Here is a 17,310-nt window from a genome sequence, read left to right on the forward strand (position 1 = left end):
CAGGGGAAGTCGTGAAGTCCCTGGCTTGCACCCAGGGTGCGTGTCGCATCTAGTGGGGACACGCCAAAGCGGCAAGTAGGCCTGCGGGAAAACGAAACAGGACGCCAGGCTTGAAAGGGGACGTTGAGGAAGCACGAGGGAAAAAGCAGCAGGCCGGTTTACTCCCACAGACAACCGTGCGTTTCCCCAGCCCGTGTGCCTGGCCCGGGACGGTCATGGAGTTCCTAGCTTGCACCCAGGGTGAGTGTCGCACCCACGGGGGAACCCCAAAGTGGCAAGAATGCTTGTGGGGGAAGGGAACATGATGCCAGGCTTGAAAGGGGACATTGAGGCAGCACGGGGAAAAAAGCGGTGGGCCGCAGTCCTCCCACCGATGACAGTCCCTTCCCGGCAGACCCTGCGCCGGGCTTGGGGTGGTCGTGGAGTCCCTGGCTTGCAGCTAATGTGCGTGTTGCGCCCACGCTGGGCGCCCCAAAGTGGCAAGAAGGCCTCCAGTGAAACGAAAGGGGACGTTGAGGCAGTACCGGGAAAAACTTTCCACGGAGGACTGTGCCTTCATGGCAGCCTCTGCATCACGCCCGGAGAAGTCGTGTAGTCCCTGGCTTGCACCCAGGGTATGTGTCGTGCCCACGGGGGAGGCACCCCAAAGCGGCAAGAAAACCTCTGAAAGAATGGAACAGGACGCCAGGCTTGAAACCGGACGATGAGGCAGCACGGGGAAAAAAGCGGCGGGTCAGAGTCACCGCACGGTTGACAGTGCCTTCCCGGTCTCCGCTGCGCCGAAACATGGGGGTGGGGGACGTGGAGTCCCTAGCTCGCACCCAGGCTGCGTGTCGCGCCCACGCGGAGCACCCTAAAGCGGCAAAAAGGCCCGCGGGAGAAGGGGACAGCATGTCAGGCTTGAAGGATACGTTCACGCAGCCTGGGGAAAACAGCGGCGAGGCTAGGGTAGTCCCACAGACGACAGTGTCTTCCCAGCAGCCCCTGCGCTGAACCCGTGTGTGTTGTTGAGTCCCTGGCTTGCACCTAGAGTGCGCTTCTCTTCCACGGGAGGCACCCCAGAGGCAAGAAGGACTTTAGGGGAAGGAAACATGACGCCAGGCTTGAAATGGAACGTTGAGGCGGCACGGAGAAAAACGCGGGTGGCCGGGGTCCTCCCACGGACGATAGTGCCTTCCCGGCAGTCGTGCCTTCCCGGCAGCCCCTACGCTGGGCCCGGGGGAGTCGTGGAGTCCTTGTCTTGCACACAGGATACGCTTCTTCCCCATGGGGGGCACCCCAAAGCGGAAAGAAGGCCCCCCGGGAAAGGGAACAGGCAGCTAGGCTTTAAATGAGACATTGAGGCTGCCCTGGAGGAAAAGCGGCTGGCCGGGGTCATCCCATGGATGACATTGCGTTCCTGGCAGCCCCTGCGCCTGGCCCCGGGGAATCGTGGAGTCCCTCACTTGCACCCAGCGTGCGTGTCGCGCTTAGACATGGGGTGCCCCCATGGGCGCGACCAGCACCCTCGGTACAAGCCAGGGACTCCAAGACCACCCCGGCCCAACATAGGGGCTGCCGGCAAGGCACTGTCTGCCCTCAGACGACCCTAGTCCGCGGCGTTTTTCCCCGGACTGACTCGGCTATCCCTTTCAACCCTGGCGTCCCATATCCTTCCCACGGTGGCCTTCTTGCCGCTTTGTGGTGCCCCCTGTGGGCGAGACAGGCACCTTGCGTGCAAGCCAGGGACTCCACGATATTCCCAGACCCACCGCAGAGGCTGCCTGGAAGACCGTGTTATCCATGGCAGAACCCCAGCATCCCCTCTTTATTCCCCAGGCTGCCTCAACGTCCACCTTCGAACCTGACGTGCTGTCTCCTTCCCCTGAGAAGCTACTCGCTGCTTTGGGGTGCCCCCCATGGGCCCCTGGGTGTAAGACTGGGACTCAACAACCCCTCCGTGTCCGGCAAAGGGGTTGCACCCCAAAGTCGCAAGTAGGCCTCCGGGGGAACGGAACAGGAAGACAGGCTTTAATGGGGACGCTGAGGCAGCACGGAGAGAAAAGAGGCTAGCCGGGTTCCTCCCATGGATGACAGTGCCTTCCTGGCAGCCCATGCGTAGGGCCCTGGGGGAGCGTGGAGTCCCTGTCTTGCACCCAGGATGCGTGTCTCGCCCACGGGAGGCACCCCAAAGCTTCAAACAGGCCCCCAGGGGAAGGGGACAGCACGTCAGACTTGAAGGGGGACGTTGAGGTAGCCTAGGGTAAAAAACCGTGACGCTGGTTCTCCCACGGACGACAGTGCCTTCCTGGCTGCCCATTCGCTGGGCCGGGGAGGTCTTGGCGTCCCTGGCTTGCATCCCGGGTGTGTGTCTCGCCCAGGGGTGGCACCACAAAGCATCAAGGAGGCCCCGGGGGAAGGGTACCAGACGCCAGGGTTGAAAAGTTTAGTTGAGGCAGTCCCGGAAAAAAGCGGCGGTCCAGTGTCCACCCAAGGACAACCGTGTCTGCCCAGCAGCCCCTGCACCGGGCCCGGGGTGGTCGTGGAGTCCCTGGCCTACACCTGGGGTGCGTGTCGCGCCCACAGTGAGCACCCCAAAGCAGTAAAAGTCCCCCAGTGGAAGGCAACAGGAAATCAGCCTTGAACGGGGACCTTTAGGTAGCCCAGAGAAAAAAGCGGCGAGGCTGAGGTGATCCCAGGGATAACAGTGCCTTCCCGACAGCCCTGCGCCGGTCCTGGCGGTGTCGTAGAGTCCCTGGCTTGTACTCAAGAGTGTGCATCTCGCCCTCAGGAGGCACCCCAAAGAGGCAAGAAGGTCCCCGGGGGAAGGGGACAGGATGTTAGGCTTAAAAGGGGACTTTGAGGCAATCCAGGGAAATAAGCAGTAAGCCAGGGTCCTTCGAACGACAGTGCCTTCGCGGCAGCCTCTCGCCCTGCCCAGTGGGGTTCTGGAGTCGCTGGCTTGCACCCAGGTTGCGTGTCGCTTCCACGGGAAGCACCCCAAAGCACCAAGAAGGCCTCTGTTGGAAGGGAAGAGGGCGCCAGGCCTGAAACGGAACGTTGAGGTAGCACGGGGAAAAAAGCAGCGGGCCGCGGACGTCCCACAGACGACAGTGCCTTTCCGGCAGTCCCTGCACCAGGCCCGGGGTCGTCGTGGAGTCCCTGGCTGCACCCAGGGTGCATGTCGCACTCACGGGGGACACCTCAAAGCCTCAAGAAGGCCTCCGGGGGAAGGAAACGGGACGCCGGGCTTGAAAGGGGACGTTGAGGCAGTCCGGGGTAAAAACTTCCCACGGATGACAGTGCCTTTCTGGCAGCCCCTTTGCCCTGCATGGGGATGGTTGTTGATTCCCTGGTTTGCACCCAGGGTGAGTGTCTCCCCCATGGGGGGCACCCCAAAGCGAAAAGAATGTTCCCCGGGGAAGGGTACAGCACGTCAGGCTTGAAGGGGGACGTTCAGGCAGCCCCGGGGAAAAAAGCGGGGATACTGGGGTCCGCTCATGGACGACATTGCCTTCCCGGCAGCCTCTGCGGTGGGCCCAGGAGCTGCGTGGAGTCCCTGGCTTGCACCCAGCTTGCATGTCTCACCCACGGGGCGCACCACAAAGAGGCAAGAAGGCCACCGGGGGAAGGGCACAGGACATCAGGGTTGAAAGGCATAGTTGAAGCAGTACGGGAAAAAAAGAGGAGGGATGGTGTCTTCCCACGCACGACAGAGCCTTCCCGGCAACCCCTGCGCTGGGCCCGGAGGGATCGTGTAGTCCCTGGCTTGCACCCATGGTGCGTGTCGTTCCCACAGGGGCACCCCAAAGTGGTAAGAAGGCCTCCCAGGGAAGGGAACAAGACGCCAGGCTTTAAAGAGGACGCTGAGGCAGCACGGCGAAAAATGCGGCCAGCCGGTTTCCTCCCATGATGGCAATTCCTTCCCGGCAGTCCCTGGCTTCCTCCCAGGGTGCGTGTCTCTCCCACTAAGTGCACCCCAAAGCGGCAAGTAGTCCCCTGGGGGAAGGGGACAGCACTTCAGGCTTCAAGGGGGACATTGAGGCAGCCCGGGGAAAACAACCTCGAGGCTGGGATTCTCCCACGGACGACAGTGCCTTCCTGGCGGCCCCTGCGCCGGGCCGAGGGTTTCATGGAGTCCCTGGCTTGCACCCAGGGTAAGAGTCTCGCCCACGGGGGCCACCCCAAGGCAGCATGAATACCTGCGGGGGAAGGGAACAGGAGGCCAGGCTTGAAAGGAGACGTTGAGGCAGTCGGGAGGGAAAACAATCCCATGGAGAACAGTGCCTTCCCGGCAGTGTCTGTGCCGGACTCGGGGTGGTCGTGGAGTCCCTGGCTTGCACCCAGGGGGCGTGTCTTTCAAGCGGGGTACTTTTCCCCAGGGGAATTGTTGTTGCTATGGGGTGCCCCCTGAGGGCGAGACACACAACCTTTGTGCAAGACAGGGACTCCAGGGCCCCCCAGCCCGCCGCAGGGGCTGCCCGGAATGCACTGTCTTCCCTGAGAAGTTTTTCCACGGACTGCCTCAACGTCCCCTTTAAAGCCAGCTCCCATCCCCCGCTGCCTTCTTGACACTTTAGGGTGCCCCCGTGGGTGAGACAGGCACCCTGGGTGCAAGCCAGGGAATCCTTGCCTGAGGCCTGGGTGTCTCTCGTGTCCTCACAACAGGAGTTTACACGAAGTTGGTGGCCATGGGAATCCGGGTTCACAAGGATGTTTCCCTGGTAGCTGGCAAAGGCAATGTTCTTCCCTGGAAAAAGCAGCCCGTGCGTTCTGGAGGAGGTCTTGGCTGGCGTCTGTGGGACCCTCTGCCCCTGCCCACCCCTTCCCCAGCCTCGGGCGTTTGCGGCGGCGCCAGATGAGTGAATTAAATTACCTAGGCCTTCCTGGAGCAGGAAGACAACCAGCATGGCAGGGAACCTGGGCCTGCGCCTTTGGGGTCTGGTGCTGGCCTGCCCCGCCCTGCCTAGAGCTGGGGACCTTGTGGAGCTGCAGCAAGGCAGAAGAGGTGGGATGCTGCTGCCCGGCGGTGTACGAGGAGGTCCTGGTGTGCGGTGGGGACGCAGGCAGGTGGAAAATGGGTAGCAGAGTCAGGGAGTGGTTGGGAAGTAGGGCACAAAAGGGAGAAAGAGGGAGCGGGAAGCCAAAAGCCTACAGCACCTTGTATTCCCAGGCGGTCTCTCTTCCAAGTACTGAACCAGGCCCCACCCTGCTTAGCGTCACAGGCCAGAGATCAGGTGTCTCAGGGCGGTAAGGCCTTAGACACCCGCAGTGATACCTGGCTGACACAAGAGCCTGGCCCACCATGCCCGCCAGACTCCAGGCATTACCGCCACTCCAAAGCCACGCGGCTTGGATCGGGACAACTCTAAGCCACTCCTCGCCTGCTGCTCGGCTGCTCTCCCCCTCCACGCCGGAGCACTGTGGGCCACCGCGCTGCACCTTCTGCCGGCTTCCAAGGGCTCCAGCCATAGCAGACAAGGCCATGCACTGGACCATCTCGGCGCCGCCCTGCTGCTGAGTGAGGACGCCAGAGGTGTCCATCCGCTGCACAGACTTCGGGCTCTCTGGTTGGTCTCCATTCCTCCGACGCTTCAGGGCTTCCCCAGGCTCATGAACTCCCAAGCTTCCACCACATCGGGCTTGCTGAGCTTGTGCTCCCAGGAGTCAGGGATACCCTTCTGTCCTCCTTGCCACGGAGGGATTGTTTTGGTTCCCTCGCCGCCCCTCCTGCAAGGCCCCCTCTCTCCTCACCCACCCAGTGCTGCCAGGGCTGCTCAAGGGTGAACAGGTGGCCTAGCCCCATGGGCCCTTTCTCTTACAACGTCCCTAACAGGGTCGCTTGTCCGGACAAGGACATGGCCCATGGCCAAGTGAGTGGGGGGAGCTGCTTTGCCCCGCGCTGCCACTGGAGCTAGCCGACTGATTGCGGGAGAGAGAGGCTGATGGACAGCCAGACACACCTCACCAGCACCAAGAAGAAACCCACCCCCACCCCCACAGACACACATGGATGCACGCTCGCGGGCACACAGAGACACACACAGATACACAAAGATACAGATAGACAGCTTGAAGGAGATCAAGGGAAAGAGGGATGGAGAGATAGAAACTGAGGGAGAGAGAGCTAGAGAGAGAGAGAGAGACAGGAATGAGAGGGAGAAAGAAAGAGAGAGAAGGTGACAGAAAGAGCATGAGATGGAGGGAGCAGGAGAGAAATAGAGAGAGGGTGACAGAACTAGAGAGCCAGAGCATTAAAGCCTGGGAGAGGGAGCTCTCTGCTCTCGTAGACAGGGCTCCTTCCAGCAGGGGTAGGGTGGAGGGTGCTTGAGCCTGGCGGGAACAGGTGGGCAGGCCGCCCATGCAAGAGGACCAACAGAACCCTGAGACGTATTTTTGCTTGGATTGGTTGCTTGCTTTTGGGGTGCGTTTCATAGGGTCCTTTTGTTGGCTACTCCCTATCTTCTTGGTGCAGTGGGCACCGAGATTTGGAGAGTGCGTCCTTCCCTCTGGTGGGAGCCCTGGCGCAGAGCGTGCCGACCGGGCCGAGGCCTGGGTCTCTCTCGTGTCCTCAGGACTGGAGTTGACACGAAGACGGTGCCAATGGGAATCCGGGTGCACAGAGACGGATTGCCTCGTGACTGGCGAAGGCAATGTCCTTCCCCTGGGGAAAGCAGCCCATAGGTCCAGGAGCAGAGGTTTTGGATGGTGTCTGTGGGACCTCTGTCCCTGGCCGCCACTTCCCCCACCGGCTTGAACTATTGCATGGTGCCAGATGAGTAAATTGAATTGCCTGGGCGTCCCGGGAGCGTGAAGACACGGGTCACCTCAGGGAACATATACCGTCCTGCCACGGCTGGAGCCGGGCACCTGGTGGGGCTGCAGCAAGAAGGAGGATGTGGGATGCTGTTGCCTGGCGGTGCTGCAGCGGTGGAACCCCACGAGGAGGTCCCGGGTTGCTTTGGGGCCGCAGGTGAGAGGAAAAGTGGGAGCAGAGTTAGGGGAAGTTTGTGAAGCATGGCGACAAAAGGGGGAAAGAGGGAGGGAGGGGGAGGACAAAAGCCTACAGCACCCAACATTCCTGGGCGTCCTCCCATCCAGGTACTAACCAGGACCCACCCTACTTAGCTTCCGAGGTCAGACGAGACTGGACAGGGTGATATGGCTGTAGGCGCTGGCAGAGGGGCCTGGATGCCTCAAGAGCCCGGCACAGCCACGCCCCGCTCGACTCCAGGCGTCATTGCCACCCCGGGGCTGCTGGGCTTGGATCCAGGATCCCCAAGCGCTCGCCAGTGGCAGGGCTGCTCTCCTCTTCTATTTTTCTGAGCACTGCTGGCCACCCCTCTGTGCCTTCCTCTGGCCTCCTAGAGCCTCCTGCCGTCGCCGGTGGCCTGGCCTCCCGCAGGACGGCCAAGGCGCCGTGCTGCTCCTGCTCGGGGGAGCCAGAGGTCTCCGTCCCATGCCCAGTCTTTGGGCTGTCCGGGCGGCCCCCTTCTGCTCACGCTCCAGGCCTTCACCCGGCTCCCGAGCTTCCATCACAACAGGCCCCTCAGGACGGGTGTGCTCATCCCTTCACTTTTTGCCTTTTTGTTTTTTCTATTTATATTTTTTTGTACTATGTTTTGAAACGTTCCTTTTTATTTTGTTTTTGTTTTTTGTTTTCTGTTTTTTGTTTTTTGTTTTTTTTGAGACGGAGTCTTGCTCTCTTGCCCAGGCTGGAGTGCAATGGCTCGATCTCGGCTCACTGCAAGCTCCGCCTACCTGGTTCACACCATTCTCCTGCCTCAGTCTCCCGAGTAGCTGGGACTACAGGCGCCCAGCACCAGGCCCGGCTAATTTTTTGTATTTTTAGTAGAAAAGGGGTTTCATCTTGTTAGCCAGGACGATCTCGATCTCCTGACCTCGTGATTCCCCCGCCTTGGCCTCCCAAAGTTCTGGAATTACAGGCGTGAGCCACTGCACCCGGCTGAAACGTTCTTGTAGTTATTACTTTTGTTTGGTTTATTATTCAGTCTTCCTACTTAGAATGAGTAGTTTACACACCACAGCTATAGTGTTATAATATTGTTTTATTTTGTATAGTTACCATTATCAATGAGGATTTTTTTTTTTTTTTTTTTTTTTTTTTTTTTTACCTTCAGTTGATTATTTCTTGCTCATTAATGTCCTTTTCTTCCTGATTGAAGTACTCCCTTCAGCATTCCTTGTAGGACAGTCATGGTATTGATGAAATCCTTCAACTTTTGTTTGTCTGGAAAAGTCAGTATTTCTTCTTATTATTTGAAGGACATTTTCGCTGTATATGCTATTCTAAGGTAAAGCTATTTTCTTTAGTGCTTTAAATATTTATTGCTTCTTTCTCCTGGCCGGCAGGGTTTCCTCTGTAAAGTCTGCTGCCTGATGTGTTGGAGCTCTCCTGTATATTATTTCTTTCTTTTGTCTTTCTTTTTTAGAACTTTTCTTTTTCTTTGACTTTTTGAAAACTGGCTATGGAATGTTTTGAAGTAGTCTTTTTAGAATTTAATCTGTTTAATGTTCTATAATATTTCTGTGATTGGATTTGGATATCTTTCTCTAGGTTTGGAAGTTTTCTATTATTATCCCTTTGAATAAATTTTCCTATCCCTGTCTCTTTCTATACGTCTTCTTTAAAACCAATAACTCTTAGGCCTATCTTTGTGAGGCTATTTTCCAGATCTTGTAGGCATTATTTGTTGTTTTTATTCTTTTTCTTTTGTCTCTTCTAAATATATATTTTCACATAGCCTGTCTTCAAGTTCACCATTTCTTCTGCTGGATCCATTCTGCTGTTAAATGGCTTTAATGCATTCTTCAGCATGCCAGTTGCATTTTCCAGCTCCTGAATTTTTGCTTAATTTGTTGTAACTATTTCAATCTCTTTGTTGAGTTTAGCTGATAAAATTTGGAATTTCTTTACTTTGTTATCTTAGATTTCTGTGAGTTTTTAAAAATACAGCTATTTTGAATTTTCTGTCTGAAAGATTACATATCTCTTTTTCTCCAGGATTTGTCGCTGATGCCTTACTTCATTCACTTTGTGAGGTCATGTTTTCCTGGATGGTGACAATGCTAGCAGATGTTCTTCAGTGTCTGGACATTAAAACTTTGGCATGCAGCACCACATAAGATGTGAAAAAAAGATTTTTTTTAAAAAAAAGATGAGCATTAATTGTAGACTTCACTGTGTGGGGTTATTCGTAGCTATCTTTCTTGGGAAGGATTTCCACATATTTGAAAAGGCAGGTGTTGTGATCTAAGCCATATCTGCTTTAGGGGGCACCGTATACCCAATAGTGCTGTAATTTTTGCAGTCTCATTGATGTACCACCTTGACAGTCTTGGACAATATCCAGGAAAATTTTCTGGATTAGTAGCCAGAGACTCTTGTTCTCTAACCTTATTTTCCCTCAAAGATACAGAGTCTTTCTCTCTATTCTAAGCCACCTAAAGTTGGGAGGAGAATGACACGAGCACCCCTGGCCGCCACCACTGGCTGCCCTGGGTCAGACCTGAAGCTGGCATAGCACCGGGTCTTGCTCAAGTCCTGCTGCACGCACTTTCTGACAACTGTCTATGTTCACTCAAGGCCTTTGGTCTCTGCAATTAGCAGGTGGCAAAGCCAGCCATATCTGTGCTCTTTCCTTCAGGGCAGCGAGTTTCCTCAGTCCCTGGCTGGGTCCAGAAGTGCCATTCGGAAGTCAGGGAGTAAAGTCAAAAATTTCAGAAGTCCACCGGACATTCTATTGCATTCCAGCTGAGCTGGCATTCAAACCACAAGACACAGCCCTTCCTATTACCTCCTTTCCTTTTCCAAAGGCAGAGTAGCCCCAAGCACCCCAGGCCACAAGGAGTACTGCCATGTTACCACCTTTGTTCCTTTAAGGCCCAAATCCTCTTTTCCGCTTGTGATGAATATTGCCTGGACTGGGACTTGCCGTTTTCAGGCCACTGGTCTCCCCACTGGCCCTGGGCAGGTTCATATATGCCAACCAAGAATCAAGTCCTAGAATCAGGGATCCCAAAACCTTTCTTGGTGCTCTACCCACCTCTGGCCTTGCCGGTACTTAAGTGGCATGAAAAAGTCCCCTTTACTTTTCCCTCTGCCTTTCCCAAGCAAAAGGAGTTTTGCCCCTTAGATACCACAGCTTGTAATGTGCTGAATCTCACCTAAATCTAGTAAGTCTATGAGGCTCACACAAGCCTCTTGATGTAGTATCTGGGTATGGCTGCTGGTTATTCAGGGCCCAAAGGTTGTTAAGTTTGCAGGTGATAAATGCTGCCAGCACTGGGTTCTTTCCTTCAAGGCAGCAGGTTTCCTTCTGGCCCGGGGTGTGTCTTGGAATGTCTAGGAGCCAGAGCCTGGAAAGGAGGACTCAGGACTCTGACCAGTGCACTATCTTGCTGTGGTTGAGCTGGTATCCAGGATGGAAGACAAAGTCCTCCCTACTCTTTTTCCTCCTCTCCTCAAGCAGAAGGATGGGGTCCCTTTTGGAGCTATAAGCTGTGCAGCCTGGTATTAGGAGAGTGATAATTCCAGAACCCCTTTGGCTGCCCCAGCTGGTGTCTCAGTATGTTGCATGACCTCCCACCTTAGTTGACTGTTCCTGGGTCCAGTTCAGCCCTAGGCCTCACCTAAGAGTTGCAGTCCTGATGGCCTAGGCTGCCTTTCAAGTTTTCTTAGATACATGGAGCTCTGGAGCCCTCAGTACCCAGATTTCCAAATGCTCAAGTTCCAACCACCGAAATCTCATTCCCCTCTGGCCAGGGCTGGTTTAAATAATCCCTCTGTGGATGGGCTTTAGCTGCATTTGGTTTGGTTTTCCTTTCTGGTCTAACAGGGCAGCACAGAGTTCAATGTCTTAAAATTTCTGTGTTCTCCCTCCTGCAGAACCCAGAGTTGATCTCTGCACCACGCCATCACTGCTGGTGGTGAGGAAATGGTGCCTCTTTCAGTGATATGAAGTTAAAACCAGGTACTTTGAGTACTCAACTGATTTTTGGTTCTTATGAATGTATTTTCTATGTAGACGTTAATAGTTGTGCATCTGGTGTCCTTGCAGGAGGGAAGATCAGTGGAGCCTTCTTTCTGCCATCTTGTGTTACCTTTGCAGCCAAGAATCAGAATGAAGAACTTTCAATAAGAAAAGCTTTCAGAACCAGGAAGGACGTAGAAGATGTCCTGGTTCTGTACGTTTAACATTGGACTGTTTCTTCAACTTAGGTGCATAACAGTGACTAATCAGGGATTATCATAGATAATTTGACTTGGAATATAGAGTTCATTCAAATACTTTATCTAGACAATTTAAGTACTGGCTGATTTGGCATGAAAATCTGACAAACTATTTTCTTGGTATTCAATTGATTTTTACTCTGTTTGCTGTAGTAGTTTTATAAACCAATCAGTCTTCATTAAAGTTCTGGGAATTCTTACCCTGTTCAAATGATATGATTCTAACGTTGTCAAAAATCTGTATTCAAGAATACTTCTCAGGACCTTTTCCATCCTTTCATGAAACTCCTTAAAGATACAGTATTCTATAATTTTGCAAGCTTGTAAAGTTTTCAGAATTTGAAATGCCTCACAATTAAGCAATTTACTGTAGAAATGATTTTAAATTTTCATAGACACAGTTGACAAGAAAATTTTATTATTTACAGGAGTGACCCACCACACCAGGCCTCTGAAGTTCATTTAATAAAATTTTATAAATAAATTTATCAAATGTGTCATCTTTGAATCCCAGATTTTTGTGAGCCTATGCTTTAGATTTTCCCCCAACTTTCTCTATTTATCTAGTTGTATCTATTTTTTACTTCTTCAATTTGAAACCTTAAGTAACTTAAAAAAATTAAAACACATTTTTTGCCTTTATAAGTTTTCTAATCAAAAGTTTATCTTCACAAGTCTGTAATCCCAGCACTTTGGGAGGCCAAGACAGGTGCATCAGTTGAGGTCTAGGGATTGAGACCAGCCTGGCCAACATGGTGAAACCCTGTCTGTACTAAAAATACAAAAATTAGCCCAGTGTGGTGGTGAGCACCTGTAATCCTAGCTACTTGGGAGGCTGAGGCAGGTGAATCGCTTGAACCCAGGAGGCAGAGTTTGCAGTGAGCTGAGATCATGCCACTGCATGCCAGCCTGGGCAACAGAACAGGACTCGGTCTAAAATAATAATAATAATAACAATAAAGAATCATATCTTGCTTTTTCATACAGTCTGATTACAGAATTGTTTCTCTCATATCTAGTAATTAAGTCTTAGTAACCCCAATTTTCAGTGAAAACCCTAAAAAGTGATTTTCAACTGTCTTATATCAGTATTTTTAGATAGAAACCATTTTATACTTGTAAAGAAATATAGTTCTTCAAATTATTGTTTATTAACAGAACCAAAGATATTTAGGTTTTCTATACCATATACAAGTAGTATATCATGGCATATAGACCTAATTTTTAGTGGTGACTATTTCATTATTTTAGCTTACAAATGACTCAAGACATTTTATAATTATCTATTACTTAATTTAACATGACTTTAAGGTTTTAAATTACGGAACAGAATTTTGGAACTATGACACAGGTAGCATCACTAATGTCTTCCCCTGGTAATTCTAGGTCCCAAGTAGCCCCATGGCACCCAGGAAAACTATGAAGATCAGACTCTGCCTGAGTCCATTAGGACTAAAGACAGAGCCGTGAAGGCTATACCTGGAGGATCCAATCCCTCCTAAAATAGCCAGGAAGCAAAATAGGAAAAGCATAGAAAGAACAGACTAATTGGGCTTGATTCCGGCTTGTAACTGCTGGTCAAGACACAGAGAACATGTCTCCAGACTTCATGATGGACACCTATCGAGACCCCCTGAATCCAGAAACTCTCAACAAAAGACACAAGCTCACAGTTAAATAAAGCAAGTACCTAATTATATTTAACTGATAATTGTAAAGCCATTTCTATTTTACTAATGATGTAAGAACTAGCTTTATTTACAAAGTGTCACATACATGTAACAGATATAGACATACAAACACACAGGAACAGATCTTATAGCTTTCATGAAGGATTTAATTTTTTTCAATTGTATGTTCAGGGGTACGTGTGAAGGTTTGTTACATAGATAAACTCATATCACAGGGGCTTGTTATACAGGTTATTTCATAACCCAGGTATTAAGCCCAGTACTCCATTGTTATCTTTTCTGTTCCTCTCCCTCCTCCCACCCTCCTCCATCAAGTAGAACCCAGTGTGTGTTGTTTCCTTCTTTGTGTTCCTAAGTTCTCATTATTTAGCTCCCACTTATAAGTGAGAACAAGTAGCTGCATAGTATTCCATGGTACATATGTGTGTTCTGTGTGGAAAATGTGTAAGGAGAGAAGAAAAGAAACACACAATACTTTTAAGGGTAAACAGACTTTATCCCAAGTATATGGCAACACAGATATAATAAACAAATCATCTAATAAGCCAATGATATAATAAACAAATTGTGATGGGAAGGGGAGAAGGGAAAAGACATATTATATATAATATATACATATACATATGTATGTGTGTACTACACACACACACACACACACACACACACACACACACGCACACACATATATATATTCACCAGATAATGGAGGATTCATCACCAGATGGGGAAGCAACTACCTGGCCTCCAGAGTTGGCCACTAGTCCATGTACAGATGAAGAGAGGTCCCATGAAGCTTCGGCGTGGTCTTGGAAACTAGCTCTTCTTCTTAAAAGTTGTTTAACATGAGGCCCAGTCATGTGGGCCCTTCTTGACTGGGCTCAAGGAATACAAAATGGTCATCAAAAGCATACCTTCACAAGCCTGTAGTCCCAGCACCTTTGGAGGCCAAGGCTGGTGCATCACTTGAGGTCAGGTGTTCAAGACCAGCCTGGCCAAACTGGTAAAACCCCATCTCTACTAAAAATACAAAAATTAGCCCGGCGTGGTGGTGCAATTGTTTTTGAAATGTCTGTTGTTTTTCAATAACTATTTCTCTGAAAGAGCACTGAATGAATGCCTCAAGGGGCTCACACAACTTGTTCCATGTCTCAGTGACCATTGTTTGTGTCCATGTTCAGTTGAATTCAAATTTAATATTTAACTTTTGCTCCATTATCTTGTCCCACATTATCTTTATTCAATCTGTCATTGATGGGCATTTAGGTTGATTCCATATCTTTACTTTTCTGAATAGTGCTGCAATAAACATGTACTTGCTTGTGACTTTATGATAGAACAATTTATATAACTCTGGGTATATTCCCAGTGATGAGATTACTGGGTCAAGTGATGGTTCTGCTTTTAGCTCTTTCGAGGAATTACCATACTGCTCTCCACAACGGTGGGACCAATACACATTCCAACCAACAGTGTATGTATTGTTTTTCTCCACAACCTTGCCAGTGTCTGTTATTTTTTGACTTCTTAATAATGGCCATTATGGCTGGTGTGAGATGGTGTCTCACTGTGCGTTTAATTTGAATTTCTCTAGTGATCGGTGATATTGAGCTTTGTATTCTATGGTTGTTGGTCACATGTATGTATTCTTTTGAAAAGTATTCATGTCTTTTGCCCACTTTTTAAATTGTTTTTTATTTCCATAGGTTTTGGGACAACAGGTGGTATTTGGTTACATTAGTAAGTTATTTATTGGTGATTTGTAAAATTTTGGTACATCCATCACCTCATCAGTATATACTGAACCAAATTTGTATCCCTTTGTCCCTCACCCCTTTTACCCCTTTCCCCGTGAGTCCTTAAAGTCCATTGTGTTATTCTTATGCCTTTGCCTCCTTATAGCTTAGCTCCCTCTTATAAGTGAGAATGTAAGATGTTTGGTTTTCCATTCCATTACTTCACTTGAGTTAATAGTCTTCAATCCCATCCAGGTTGCTGAAATTGCCATTGATTAATTTCTTTTTATGGCTGAGTAGTGCTCCATCCTACATCTATACCCCAGTTTCTTTATCCACTCATTGACTGACGGGCAATTGGATTGGTTGTACATTTTTGCAATTGCAAATTGTGCTGCTATAAATATGCATGTGCAAGCATCTTTTTTGTATAATAACTTCTTTTTTTCCTCTGGGTACATAGCCAGTAGTGGGATTGTGGGGTCAAATGGTTCTTCTCCTTTCAGTTCTTTAAGGAATCTCCACACAGTTTTCCATAGTGATTGTACTACCTTACATTCCCACCAGCAGTGTAGAAGTGTTCCCTTTTCACCACACTCACACCAACATCTATTATGTTTTTATTTTTTGATTATGACCATTCTTGTGGGAGTAAGGTGGTATCGCATAATGGTTGTAATTTGCATTTCCCTGATTATTAGTGATGTTGAGCATTTTTTCATATATTTGTTGGCCATTTGTATATCTTCTAAGAATTTTGTATGACCATATTGCCAAAAGCAATCTACAAATTCAATGCAATTGCCATCAAAATACCACCATCATTCTTCACAGAACTACAAAAAACAATTCTAGAATTCAAAAAAGAGCCCGCATAGCCAAAGCAATGCTAAGCAAAAAGAACAAATTAGAAGACATCACATTACCTGATTTCAAACTATAGCATAAGACCATAGTCACCAAAACAGCATGGTTCTGGTATAAAAGTAAGCACATAGACAAATGAAACATAATAGACAACCCAGAAATTAACCCAAATATTTACAGCCATCTGATCTTTCACAAAGTAAACAGAAACAGAGTGGGGAAAGAACGCCCTACTTAACAAATGGTGCTGGGATAATTGGCAAGCCACATGTAGGAGAATGAAACTGGATCTTCATGTCTCACCTTCTACAAAAATCAACACGAGATGGATCAACGACTTAAATCTAAGACCTGAAACTTAAAAAATTCTAGAAGATGACATCAAAAAACATTCTAGACATTGGCTTAGGCAAGGATTTCATGACCAAGAACCCAAAAGCAAATGCAAGAAAAACAAAGATAAATAGGTGGGATTTAATTAAACTAAAGAGCTTTTTCACGACTAAAGGAACAGTCAGCAGAGTAAGCAGACAATCTACAGACTGGGAGAAAATCTTCACAATCTGTATATCTGACAAAAGACTAATATCCAGGATCTACAACAAGCTCAAACAAATTAGAAAGAAAAAAAAAATCCCATAAAAAAGTAGGCTAAGGACACGAGTAGACAATTATTTGGCAACTCTTTAATAGGGTTGTTTGTTTTTCTCTTGTAAATTTATTTAAGTTCTCTATGTTGAATATTAGACCTTTGTCAGATACATAGTTTGTAAATATGTTTTCTTATTCTGTAGGTTGTCTCTTCACTCTATCGATAATTTCTTTTGCTGAGCAGAGGCTTTTAAGTTTAATTAGACCCCACTTGTCAATATTTGCATTTGTTGTAATTGTTTTTGGTGTCTTTATCATGAAATCTTTGCCTGTTTTTATGTCCAGGATGGTATTGCCTAGGTTGTCTTCCAGGGCTCTTATAGTTTTGGGTTTTGCATTTAAGTCTTTAATCCATCTTGAGTTGATTTTTGTGTAGAGTGTAAGGAAGAGGTCCAGCTTCAGTCTTCTACGTATGGCTAGCCAGCTATCCCAGCAACACTTATTGTATAGGGAGACTTTTCCCCATTGCTTGTTTTTGCCAGCTTTGTCAAACATTAGATAGTTGTAGGTGTGCGGTCTTATTTCTGGGCTCTCTACGCTGTTCCATTGGTGTGTGCCTCTGTTTTTGTACGGGTGCCCTGCTGTTTTGGTTACTGTAGTGCTGTAGTATCGTTTGAAGTCCCGTAATGTGATGCCTCAAGCTTTGTTCTTTTGCTTAGGATTGCCTTGGCTATTTAAGTTCTTTCTTGGTTCTATATACATTTTTAAATAGCTTTTTCTAGTTCCATGAAGCTTGTCATTGGTAGTTTCATAGGAAGAGCTTTGGGCAGTATGGTGATTTAAATGATATCAGTTCTTTCTCTCCATTAACATGGAATAATTTTCCATTTCTTTGTGTCTCGTGTGACTTCTTTGAGCAGTGTTTTGTAATTTTCATTGCAGAGATCTTTCACCTCCCTGGTTAGCTGTATTTCTAGGTATTTTATTCTTTTTGTGAAAATCGTGAATACAATTGCCTTTCTGGTTTGTCTCTCAGTTTGGCTCTTCTTCGTGTATAGGAATGCTAGCAAATTTTGTACATTGATTTTGTACACTGAAACCACGTGGAAGTTGTTTATCAGCTTACGGAGCATTTTGGGTCACAACTATAGGTTTTAGATAGAGAATTATGTTGTCTGCAAACAGAGGTAGTTGG

General features: G+C 48.7%; 1 long non-coding RNA gene and 2 pseudogenes across 1 annotated transcript; 1 reads left to right on the forward strand and 2 right to left on the reverse strand.

Moving 5' to 3' along the window:
• Positions 5,028-5,343, reverse strand: RNA5SP522 (RNA, 5S ribosomal pseudogene 522; annotated as a pseudogene).
• On the forward strand, positions 6,178-10,871 carry LOC105377220 (uncharacterized). The gene is made up of 3 exons (XR_001756063.1): positions 6,178-6,952; positions 8,166-8,294; positions 9,005-10,871. It is a non-coding gene; the product is annotated as an uncharacterized LOC105377220 (long non-coding RNA).
• RNA5SP523 (RNA, 5S ribosomal pseudogene 523) lies at positions 6,940-7,252 on the reverse strand (annotated as a pseudogene).
• Positions 10,872-17,310: the final 6,439 nt, after the last annotated feature.

This window comes from Homo sapiens, chromosome Y, assembly GCF_000001405.40.
Source record: "Homo sapiens chromosome Y, GRCh38.p14 Primary Assembly".
NCBI lineage: Eukaryota > Metazoa > Chordata > Mammalia > Primates > Hominidae > Homo > Homo sapiens.